We start from the raw sequence: 13,282 nt of genomic DNA on the forward strand, positions 1-13,282 counted from the left end.
GGTAATCATGACACGGTTCAACACTGTAAGGCACTAATGCAATATTCAAAAGCTGATTTCCACCAGATCTAAGAAGTTTTCTATGATCTGCTTCCTAAAGAAGGCAATGTGCCCCATACATTAGAACTTGGAGACTTAGTTTATTGGAAAAGATGCCAACGAAAGTCTGCATTTGAGTCTTGTTGGAAGGGGTCTTTTTTACTGCAAAATATTTACAGTTATAGCAAAGATCTATCCACTGTTGAGCCAGATTTACATTAGGCAACCACACAGCCTTGGGCTATTCATGGCTGAGGAGGAGCACGTTGTTGCATCGCGTTGTGCCTACATAAGTAACTCGGGAAAAATGTAAACCCAATTACACGTTATCCAGGAAAATGCAGGTGGGCTTGGAAACATACAACCTGAATCAGACTGTGACTCATTTTATCTTTTGAGCTGGTTAAATCTGGGCAGGTGGCATTTTTGGACGCTAGGTGTTATCCTCCTGAGAGTAACATCCACCACCTCTCTCGGGTGTTGTATCCGCTCCAGTGCCCACTGACTCAGCAAATGGTCTCTGTGAGAACCAAGCAACAACCTGGAGGGCCCACTGAGATCCCACTTTGAAGCCTTCAGTGTCCATGGAGGAAGGATGGGTGGTGACAGGAATGCTGAATGGCCGCACTCTCAGCTCCACTCAGAGAAAGACCACAAGGGAAGAACTGTCAAATAAACACAGAAATGCAGGTAGGGACTGACCTTCGCCCCAACCACGGCTCCACCCGCTCAGTGAGATTCCAAAATTGACCACATAGTTGGAAGTAAAGCACTCCTCAGCAAATGTAAAAGAACAGAAATTATAACAAACTGTCTCTCAGACCACACTGCAATCAAACTAGAACACAGGATTAAGAAACTCACTCAAAACCACTCAACTACATGGAAACTGAACAACCTGCTCCTGAATGACTACTGGGTACATAACGAAATGAAGGCAGAAATAAAGATGTTCTTTGAAACCAACGAGAACAAAGACACAACATACCAGAATCTCTGGGACACATTCAAAGCAGTGTGGAGAGGGAAATTTATAGCACTAAATGCCCACAAGAGAAAGCAGGAAAGATCTAAAATTGACACCCTAACATCACAAAAGAACTAGAGAAGCAAGAGCAAACACATTCAAAAGCTAGCAGAAGGCAAGAAATAACTAAGATCAGAGCAGAACTGAAGGAAATAGAGACACAAAAAACCCTTCAAAAAATCAATGAATCCAGGAGCTGGTTTTTTGAAAAGATCAACAAAATTGATAGACCGCTAGCAAGACTAATAAAGAAGAAAAGAGAGAAGAATCAAATAGACACAATAAAAAATGACAAAGGGGCTATCACCACCAATCCCACAGAAATACAAACTACCATCAGAGAATACTATAAACACCGCTACGCAAATAAACTAGAAAATCTAGAAGAAATGGACAAATTCCTCAACACATACACTCTCCCAAGACTAAACCAGGAAGAAGTTGAATCTCTGAATAGGCCAACAACAGGCTCTGAAATTGAGGGAATAATTAATAGCTTACCAACCAAAAAAAGTCCAGGACCAGATGGATTCACAGCCAAATTCTACCAGAGGTACAAGGAGGAGCTGATACCATTCCTTCTGAAACTATTCCAATCAGCGGAAAAAAAGGGAATCCTCCCTAGCTCATTTTATGAGGCCAGCATCATCCTGATACCAAAGCCTGGCAGAGACACAACAAAAAAAGAGAATTTTAGACCAATATCCTTGATGAACATTGATGCAAAAATCCTCAATAAAATACTGGCAAACCGAATCCAACAACACATCAAAAAGCTTATCCACCATGATAAAGTGGGCTTCATCCCCGGGATGCAAGGCTGGTTCAACATACGAAAATCAATAAACGTAATCCAGCATATAAACAGAACCAAAGACAAAAACCACATGATTATCTCAATAGATGCAGAAAAGGCCTTTGACAAAATTCAACAACCCTTCATGTTAAAAACTCTCAATAAATTAGGTATTGATGGGATGTATCTCAAAATAATAAGAGCTATCTATGACAAACCCACAGCCGATATCATACTGAATGGACAAAAACTGGAAGCATTCCCTTTGAAAACTGGCACAAGACAGGGATGCCCTCTCTCACCACTCCTATTCAACATAGTGTTGGAAGTTCTGGCCAGGGCAATCAGGCAGGAGAAGGAAATAAAGGGCATCAATTAGGAAAAGAGGAAGTCAAATTGTCCCTGTTTGCAGATGACATGATTGTATATCTAGAAAACCCCATTGTCTCAGCCCAAAATCTCCTTAAGCTGATAAGCAACTTCAGCAAAGTCTCAGGATACAAAATCAATGTGCAAAAATCACAAGCATTCTTATACACCAATAACAGACAAACAGAGAGCCAAATCATGAGTGAACTCCCAGTCACAATTGCTTCAAAGAGAATAAAATACCTAGGAATCCAACTTACAAGGGATGTGAAGGACCTCTTCAAGGAGAACTACAAACCACTGCTCAATGAAATAAAAGAGGATACAAACAAATGAAAGAACATTCCATGCTCATGGGTAGGAATAATCAATACCGTGAAAATGGCCATACTGCTCAAGGTAATTTATTGATTCAATGCCATCCCCATCAAGCTACCAATGACTTTCTTCACAGAATTGGAAAAAACTACTTTAAAGTTCATATGGAACCAAAAAAGAGCCTGCATTGCCAAGTCAATCCTAAGCCAAAAGAACAAAGCTGGAGGCATCACACTACCTGACTTCAAACTATATTACAAGGCTACAGTAACCAAAACAGCATGGTACTGGTACCAAAACAGAGAGATAGACCAATGGAACATAACAGAGCCCTCAGAAATAATGCCACATATCTACAACTATCTGATCTTTGACAAACCTGACAAAAACAAGCAATTGGGAAAGGATTCCCTATTTAATAAATGGTGCTGGGAAAACTGGCTAGCCATATGTAGAAAGCTGAAACTGGATCCCTTCCTTACATCTTATACAAAAATTAATTCAAGATGGATTAAAGACTTACATGTTAGACCTAAAACCATAAAAATGCTAGAAGAAAACCTAGGCAATACCATTGAGGACATAGGCATGGGCAAGGACTTCATGTCTAAAACACCAAAAGCAATGGCAACAAAAGCCAAAATTGACAAATGGGATCTAATTAAACTAAAGAGCTTCTGCACAGCAAAAGAAACCACCATCAGAGTGAACAGGCAACCTACAGAATGGGAGAAAATTTTTGCAATCTACTCATCTGACAAAGGGCTAATATCCAGAATCTACAATGAACTCTAACAAATTTACAAGAAAAAAACAACCCCATCAAAAAGTGAGCGAAGGATATGAACAGACACTTCTCAAAAGAAGACATTTATGCAGCCAAAAAACACATGAAAAAATACTCATCATCACTGGCCATCAGAGAAATGCAAATCAAAACCGCAATGAGATACCATATCACACCAATTAGAATGGCGATCATTAAAAAGTCAGGAAACAACAGGTGCTGGAGAGGATGTGGAGAAATAGGAACACTTTTACACTGTTGGTGGGACTGTAAACTAGTTCAACCATTGTGGAAGTCGGTGTGGCGATTCCTCAGGGATCTACAACTAGAAATACCATTTGACCCAGCCATCCCATTACTGGGTATATACCCAAAGGATTATAAATCATGCTGCTATAAAGACACATGCACACGTATGTTTACTGTGGCACTATTCACAATAGCAAAGACTTGGAACTAACCCAAATGTCCAACAATGATAGACTGGATTAAGAAAATGTGGCACACATACACCATGGAATACTATGCAGCCATAAAAAATGATGAGTTCATGTCCTTTGTAGGGACACGGATGAAGCTGGAAACCATCATTCTCAGCAAACTATCGCAAGGAGAAAAAACCAAACACCGCATGTTCTCACTCATAGGTGGGAATTGAACAATGAGAACACATGGACACAGGAAGGGGAACATCACACACCGGGGACTGTTGTGGGGTGGTGGGGTCGTGGGGGAGGGATAGCATTAGGAGATATACCAAATGCTAAGTGATGAGTTAATGGGTGCAGCACACCAACATGGCACATGTATACATATGTAACAAACCTGCACGTTGTGCACATGTACCCTAAAACTTAAAGTATAATAAAAAAAAGAATGTTTCTATGAGAGAGCAGCATTCTGAATTCATCCTAATTACCTGTTCGCCCATTTCCTTTGGGTTTCTAAGGTAGTAGAATAGGCTGTGCTGAAAACAGACAGACAGACAGATAGACCTGCAGACAGATAGGCAGATAGGCAGAAAGCCAGACAGACTTGCAGACAGGCAGACAGACAAACAGACAGATAGACCTGCTCCCAGATGGACAGAGAGGCAGCTATCATGAAGGGTGGCTCAAGACCATTCCCAGTGTATCAATGGGTCACCGAATGTGTGATGAACAATGATTAGATCCTTCCTAATTACATGCAAATGAGGCTAACCATCATCCTCATGTAATTACACACGGTGTTATATTTGTTTCAGTTGTGGTTGGCTTCAAGAATAGAGCAGAAGGGCAAGAGCTTCAGTGTTCTAATACTGGATCTTGGTGGCCACACCCCCAAGTCTTCCTGAACCAACTATCCCTGCCTGTCCCTGGTCCCACCTGTCCTACCTGCCCCTGTCCTGACTCCACTTGCCTGTCACACACACTAATTCCATTGTCCACCCCGGAGCAGCCTTGACACTCACTGGGCAAGGATCCCAAGCCTGCCCCACTGCTCTGCAGAGCCTCTTCCCTTCATCTTTGTCTGGGTGAGGGAGTCTCCCCCAGCTTCATCCGGAACCTTATGGCCATGATGGAGAAAGTGCTTCTGTTCCAGTCCCATTTGCGAGGAATCTCAATGGGCGCCCAGCCCACTTTCTTCCCTAAAGCCGTGACCTCAGGTAGTTCCCCTTCTGGGAGCAGTTTCCTCATCCCTAGATGAGTGTGTTGGTCAAGGAGGTGTCTAAGTCCCTTCCAGCTCCACCTTTCCATAAATATCTGCCCTGGAGTGACCATAGCAGAGTCCTTCACACAGCACGCGGGTTCAACAGCTTTCCAGGCAGCGAGCCACCAGAGCCACAGCCAGGGCAGCCAGTACCCACTAGCCGGGCCAGGCCTGCTTCTCACCTGCTGTCCCGGGCAATCATGCACAGCCCCGTTCTCTCGAGAGAGGCCAGGTCTGGTGGACACGTTTACTGTCAGTCCATTCATAACCCATCCAGGAGGTATGCAGTTTGGGGGGTGACAAGCAACATTTGGAAGAGAACCTGTGGTTTTGTGAGGTGTCTGCACTGCATCACAGTGTGAACTGTGTCCCTAACTGCAGGCCTCAGGCAAACTTGAAGCAAGCTTTGGGCTAGGCCAGGGGGCTCCTGACTCTGCGTCTGCTGCAGGCAGTGTCTGGGCTGGTGCATGTGAACATTCTCAGGAAACCCTCAGATAGAAGCCTTCTTTACCCCTTAGCAGATGTGCCCTTGCTGGATGGGCTCTGACAAAGTCTCAGCTTCCCAGCCCACTTCAGCCCCCATCACACACATCTCCGTCTGGGAAACTGCTTCTTCCAGACCCTTTGTGTAATGATGAACGTCTTAACCAATGCCACTTTGCACAGGGTGCTGTGGGGTGCAGAAAGCAAAGCCGCATCAGTACTCAGACAGCTTCTGTCCGGTCCTTAGTAAACAAGACCAACGCGCACCAGGCCAGAGGGGCAAAGGCCATGCCTCTGAGTTCTGCAGGCAGGCAGTGGACTCTTGGCAGGCCGCACGAGGTGTGGGCGGGAGGATGAGAGTGCTCGGGGCAGGAACTCTGGGAGCACTTAGTGGGTGAAGGGAAATAGCGAGTGATGGGGCAGGCGGCTGGGCACGCTGGAGGGCAGTGCCGCCAGGTGAGACAGGAACAGCGTGAGGCAGGAGACAGGATGTGGGGGCCCCTGGCGCAGCATTTCATGCCGAGTGACAGCACCCTCCCTTGGCCTCTTCCTCCCAGAGTGGCACAATGTGTCCCCTGTTCCCTCTGCCAGGCTTCAGGCTCCTGCAGAGAGGGCGCCGGGCACGGGATTCAGGGCACTATGCCTGTGCAATGGCAGGCAAGGTCAGTCCCTGGTCAGTGTCTGCAGGGCCCCTGGCGGCGTGGCCTCACGCTGCAGAAAGTGCAGGGTTTGTCTGCACCTCTTATGGGTCCCCGGAGCATGTGGGCCTGTTGGGGGGCCTCTGCCTGGTGCTGGCGCGGAGTGGGGTACAGGGAGGATTTCGGGGCATGGACTCCACCCCTCACTGGAGGCCGCCAGTTGCCAGTCTCAGAGGTAGGAGGTGCCTGTTTTTGCCTTAGAAGTCGAAGGCTGGAGCTTCCTTTTGCTTCTCAAATGTTTTAGACACCGTCAGAAACCATAACCTATTTTTGTGGGAAATGTTCTCCAAGATGCCACTGCAATCTTTTCCAAGGGCATCATGGCCCATGGAAGCTTCTTCTAAAAACGGAGGTGCTGTTTCAAGATTCAGGATGAGAACACTGCACTGTGTAAAAGCATTAGCAAGTTGAATTTTTCTTCTTTCAAGTTACTGGCAAAATATCCTTTGAGGACATTTACTTTGAGGATCTATCCTGTGGCAAATATCCTGGTGTGAAGCATCAGATTCTACAAGTCACTCCACTTAGGAGACTGTCAGGACCATCGTCATGATGGTGCAGCATTTTGCAATTTACAAAACGAATTCATGCAGTTATGGCAACAACCCTGTGAAGACACCAGATTGAGTCTCACTGCTCCGTTCCCACAACACGGATGAGGCGGGTGGAGGGTTTTGTTTTGTTTTTTGAGACGGAGCCTTGCTCTGTCACCCAGGCTGGAGTGCAGTGGTGAGATCTCAGTTTACTGCAACCTCTGCCTCCCGGGTTCAAGTGATTCTTTTGCCTCAGCCTCCTGAGTAGCTGGAACTACAGGCACGTGCCACCACGCCCGGCTAATTTTTGTATTTTTAGTAGAGACAGGGTTGCACCATGTTGGTCAGGCTGGTCTCGAACTCCTGACCTCAGGTGATCCACCCGCCTTGGCCTCCAAAGTGCTGGGATTACAGGCGTGGGCCACCGCGCCCGGCCTCATGGTGAGTTTAAGGACACGGCTGTCACGCTGAAGCTGACGCCAGGATCGAATCCCATGACACCGTCTCACTGGAGGAAGTCTCCCACCACAAGAATCCAGGGTTACTCTTTTGTTTCAGTTTTTTTTTTTCGTTAGGAGTAACTGGTGATTCCATCTGAAAAGGCCCACATGCTGCAGGATTCCAACCCAAGACATTCTGGAAAGGCAGGACTATGGAGCCAGGGCAAAGATCGGCAGTTGCCAGGGGCTGGGGAAGGAGGGACGAAGAGGCGGAGCACAGGGGAGTTTCAGGTCAGCGAGGACGACCCGCGCGATGCTGTGATGGCGGGTCCTTGTCATTAGGCATTTGTCCAAACCCACAGAATGCAAACCACCAGGAGTGAGCCCTAAGTAAACCAGGGACTTCAGTTAACAACAAGGGGTCAATATTATACCAAAGCCATCAGTTGTAACAAGTGCACCACATTAACAAAACATGTTAATAAGAGGCACTGGGCAGTGCGGACTGCACGAGAATCCCCTGTACTTTCTGCTTAATTTTTATGTCACCATAAAACTGCTCTAAAAAGTCGATTAACTTGAAAAATCAGGAGCTGCTAAGTCTAGTGGAGAACTCAGGGATGCCTGGGGTGGTTCCATCTTAAGAATGTGTCTTCCAGTGAGAACTGTTTTTCCAACAGCAAGGTAAAGCACAGATATGATCTTGACTTGTTTTGCCCATGGAGTCCTATGAAAATCAGACCGTGCTGAGCTGGGTTGTGGGGAGGTGCCCTGTTCTGACCCACGCGGGGGACTGTAACATCCCGGAATCTGAGGTAAGCTGAAAAGGCCTTCCCAAAGCAAAAGCTGTGACAGCCTGGATCCTGCACCATGGCTGCATGGCTGAGACCTGCCACATGGGTTTGCCCCCAGGAAGGGCTGAGGCTGGGGCCTGCATGGTTCTGCTGAGTGTTCAGGAAGGTGAGAGACAAGCTCTCAACCCGGGGGATGTCAAATGTGAAGTTTCTTTCCAGGGATGCTCTTCCTCTTTACATGGGCCACCTGGGTGTGACAGCTGCGCTGATTCTCCATGGCCAGGTGTTGTGCCCAGGAGCTGGTCCTGCTGGGTCTGAGTTCTGCCTGCCTCCGAGCGCCTGCCCAGGACCCTTGGCTCACGGTGCTTGCTTCCCACCCCGTAGGATGGCACAAAGCCATGACTCCTCAGTGAGTAGCTGATACCCATGTAATAAACATGGAAGTGACACAATTCTCTGAAGCAGCAAAAGTGCATCTTGGAGGCTGGTTGTGACACCAGCAGGTTGTCTTCAGGTTCTGTGAATAAAACATCAGCTCTTACCTCAAATGGTCTAGAGTAGACTCACATGTCCTCACGTGAAGAAAACCACACTCTGCCAGGATCCCCATAGTGAGATACGTCTTCCCAACCAACAATACCGAGGATCCTGATAGTGAGATATGGCTTCCCAACAAACAATAACCACACTCTGCCAGGACTCTGATAGTGAGATACGGCTTCCCAACAAATAATACCCAGGACTCGGATAGTGAGATATGGCTTCCCAACAAACAATACCCAGGACTCGGATAGTGAGATATGGCTTCCCCAACAAACAATACCCAGGACTCGGATAGTGAGATACGGCTTCCCAACAAACAATAACCACACTCTGCCAGGATTCTGATAGTGAGATACAGCTTCTCCAACAAACAATACCCAGGACTCTGATAGTGAGATACAGCTTCCCCAACAAACAATACACAGGATCCTCATAGTGAGATACGACTTCCCCAACAAACAATAACCACACTCTGCCAGGACTCTGATAGTGAGATACGGCTTCCCCAACAAACAATACCCAGGACTTGGATAGTGAGATACGGCTTCCCCAACAAACAATACCCAGGACTCAGATAGTGAGATACAGCTTCCCCAACAAACAATACCCAGGACTCGGATAGTGAGATACGGCTTCCCAACAAACAATAACCACACTCTGCCAGGATTCTGATAGTGAGATACAGCTTCTCCAACAAACAATACCCAGGACTCTGATAGTGAGATACAGCTTCCCCAACAAACAATACACAGGATCCTCATAGTGAGATACGACTTCCCCAACAAACAATAACCACACTCTGCCAGGACTCTGATAGTGAGATACGGCTTCCCCAACAAACAATACCCAGGACTTGGATAGTGAGATACGGCTTCCCCAACAAACAATACCCAGGACTCAGATAGTGAGATACAGCTTCCCCAACAAACAATATCCAGGACTCGGATAGTGAGATACGGCTTCCCCAGCAAACAACACACAGGATCCTGATAGTGAGATACTGCTTCCCAAACAAACAATACCCAAGTGGGGGCACTCCCTATCCTCTCCCTGCTGCCCCCATAATCCAGGCTGCAGGAAGTCCTGTGGCTGGCTGGGGGCCCCAATCGGTGCCCACCCGACCCCTGAAGGCACTGAGCCTGAGGGTCTTTTACAGGGGAAGCCGGCAATGAGCCTTAGGGTCTTCTGACAGTCAAGAATGGTTCTTCCTCTACCTACTAGAGCACAGCATCCATCAGCCTTGACTGTTGCCCAATCCTGAGAGAACCTACAGAGGAGCCAGCATCTGCAGCAGCACACTGGTACATCCACACACATGCTGCAGCACAGCCACGCACCTGCGACAGTACACCTGAACACCCGCATACCCACTGCAGCACACCTGTACACCACAATCATGCTGCAGCACACCTGTATATCTGCACACCTGCTGTAGCATACCTGTACACCACACACAAGCTGCAGCACAGCTGTTCATCCGCACACATGCTGCAGCACACCTGTACACCTGCGGCAGTACACCTGAACACCTGCACACCCACCGCAGCACACCCGTATACCACACACAAGCTGCAGCACAGCTGTACACCTGCACACCTGCTGCAGCACACCTATACACCTGCAAGGAGTCAGGACAGTCCCACCACGTTATTCACATCACAGCGAGCAAGTGCACAGGACAGTGTCTCACAAGTTGGACTAAGCCCTGACCTGAGTAGGATTTCTTGGAGAAGCCACTGTCTGAGCTGGAGAGGGAATCACACAGCGGTGGCAGCACGGCCTGCACCACGGAGTGAAAGCAGTGAGCTCCGGAGTCCATTCAGCTACTCTGGTCACAGCCTGGAAACGCTGCTGGGAGAACAATCCCAGTGCCTCAGGCCTCGGTTCCTCATCTGGGGAATGGGAATAGCCTCAGGCCTCAGCTCCTCATCTGGGGAATGGGAATAGCCTCAGGCCTCGGCTCCTCATCTGTGGAATGGGAATAGCCTCAGGCCTCGGCTCCTCATCTGTGGAATGGGAATAGCCTCAGGCCTCGGCTCCTCATCTGTGGAATGGGAATAGCCTCAGGCCTCGGCTCCTCATCTGTGGAATGGGAATAGCCTCAGGCCTCGGCTCCTCATCTGTGGAATGGGAATAGCCTCAGGCCTCGGCTCCTCATCTGTGGAATGGGAATAGCCTCAGGCCTCGGCTCCTCATCTGTGGAATGGGAATAGCCTCAGGCCTCGGCTCCTCATCTGTGGAATGGGAATAGCCTCAGGCCTCGGCTCCTCATCTGTGGAATGGGAATAGCCTCAGGCCTCGGCTCCTCATCTGTGGAATGGGAATAGCCTCAGGCCTCGGCTCCTCATCTGTGGAATGGGAATAGCCTCAGGCCTCGGCTCCTCATCTGTGGAATGGGAATAGCCTCAGGCCTCGGCTCCTCATCTGTGGAATGGGAATAGCCTCAGGCCTCGGCTCCTCATCTGTGGAATGGGAATAGCCTCAGGCCTCGGCTCCTCATCTGTGGAATGGGAATAGCCTCAGGCCTCGGCTCCTCATCTGTGGAATGGGAATAGTTCTTGTCTGGCAGTGTTGCGCATTAAATTTAGAATTTCATGTAAAGTGCTTAGAGCACAGTAAGCCCTTAACAACAACTATTATTATCATTATAACTAATATTATTAGCACATGCTAGATGTTCAATACATATTAGTGATTTCTGTCAGCAAGGAAACCTGAGACAAGTCTTTACATGCTTTACAACTCAGGTTTCTCCACTTGTAAAACAACAACAACAACAACAGCAAAAACCTGTCCCAATGTCACAAAAAGTGCACGGGACCCTAACAACTAATACCTCACTGGCTGTACACTGCATACAGGATGGCAGGAGGAGGCAGCATTTCTGTGAGAACAAGGCATTCCACATCTAGAAGATGCTGTGATTAGCAAGGATCACTGTGGGGAAGGGAGAAGTTACACGTGGAGAGAAAAGAAGAGCAAATCAGGACTTAAAAAATTACTGTGGATGAAAGGGGATGGCAAATCAAAAGCAAGGCAGGCACCAAAGGAGACACTTAGCACAGACATGCTGGGATCACGCACAGGGGCCACCTCTTGTGACCATCACAATCCCCGGTGACCTCAGCACAGACACGCTGGGACCACACACAGGGGCCACCTCTTGTGACCATCACAATCCCCGGTGACCTCAGCACAGACACGCTGGGACCACACACAGGGGCCACCTCTTATGACCATCACAATCCCCAGTGCCCTCAGCAGAGACACACTGGGATCACGCACAGGGGCCACCTCTTGTGACTATCACAATCCCCAGTGACCTCAGCACAGACATGCTGGGACCACGCACAGGGGCCACCTCCTGCGACCACTGCAATCCCCAGTGACCTCGGCACAGACACGCTGGGACCCACGCACAGGGGCCACCTCTTGTGACCATCACAATCCCCGGTGACCTCAGCAGAGACACACTGGGATCACGCACAGGGGCCACCTATTGTGACTATCACAATCCCCGGTGACCTCAGCACAGACACGCTGGGATCACGCACAGGGGCCACCTCCTGCGACCATTGCAATCCCCGGTGACCTCAGCACAGACACGCTGGGACCACGCACAGGGGCCACCTCTTGTGACCATCACAATCCCCGGTGACCTCAGCACAGACACGCTGGGACCACACACAGAGGCCACCTCTTATGACCATCACAATCCCCAGTGCCCTCAGCAGAGACACACTGGGATCACGCACAGGGGCCACCTCTTGTGACTATCACAATCCCCAGTGACCTCAGCACAGACATGCTGGGACCACGCACAGGGGCCACCTCCTGCGACCACTGCAATCCCCAGTGACCTCGGCACAGACACGCTGGGACCCACGCACAGGGGCCACCTCTTGTGACCATCACAATCCCCGGTGACCTCAGCAGAGACACACTGGGATCACGCACAGGGGCCACCTATTGTGACTATCACAATCCCCGGTGACCTCAGCACAGACACGCTGGGATCACGCACAGGGGCCACCTCCTGCGACCATTGCAATCCCCGGTGACCTCAGCACAGACACGCTGGGACCACGCACAGGGGCCACCTCTTGTGACCATCACAATCTCTGGTGACCTCAGCACAGACACGCTGTGATCACACACAGAGGCCACTTCCTGTGACCATTTTACCAAACCGGTAAAGCCTGGATTCCTTGGGAACCTACTTTGCCCCAGGAGCTCCGTAGAAGCATCGAATTGTGGTTTACGGAACTGGAGCAACACAAGTGAGGTTAATAGAGGGCTTTGCGCATGAAGCAGAAGATAAGCGCTGATGTCTCGACTGCTCGTGGGAATCCCCTGCTCATGGATGAGTCTGCGGCTGCCCCTTCTGAGCCGTGTCCCTGTATGGTAAAGTGTGGTCATGCAGCGCCTTATCCCATGGATGGCTGGGGGACTGAATGAGCTAGTCCATGCAGAGTTCAGCATGGTGCCAGGTGCTCTGTGAACGCTCAATAATTTATGCTATTTGGTGTGATATGATGATGAAAGGAATTTTTATAACGGAAGGGATGTGAAAGGTTGTGTAATCCCACAACTGCAGCCCTCCTTGCCTGCTTTGCACATGCCTGCCTCGCAGGGGGCCCAGGGAAAGCCCCGCCCTGCACGTCACTCCTCACACAGTCCGGTTCCCCCATCAGCAATAGCAGTGGGGGAACGAGGGGCCATGAGACCTGCCTGGCCTCCTCCTGTGGTTCCCGGGACGCGAG

General features: G+C 49.1%; 1 protein-coding gene across 4 annotated transcripts in view, besides 1 other annotated feature; it reads right to left on the reverse strand.

Moving 5' to 3' along the window:
* The window catches only part of VIPR2 (vasoactive intestinal peptide receptor 2), a 116,693-nt gene that overhangs the window by 50,242 nt on the left and 53,169 nt on the right, over positions 1 to 13,282 (reverse strand).
* Positions 5,517 to 6,047: an enhancer, noted in NCBI's record as "H3K4me1 hESC enhancer chr7:158876624-158877154 (GRCh37/hg19 assembly coordinates)". NCBI's record gives its function as "activates a minimal SCP1, AML or CMV promoter by ChIP-STARR-seq in primed H9 embryonic stem cells {active_cell/tissue: H9 hESC(primed)}" and the evidence as "EXISTENCE:reporter gene assay evidence [ECO:0000049][PMID:30033119]".

This window comes from Homo sapiens, chromosome 7 (genome assembly GCF_000001405.40).
Source record: "Homo sapiens chromosome 7, GRCh38.p14 Primary Assembly".
NCBI classification, from domain to species: domain Eukaryota; kingdom Metazoa; phylum Chordata; class Mammalia; order Primates; family Hominidae; genus Homo; species Homo sapiens.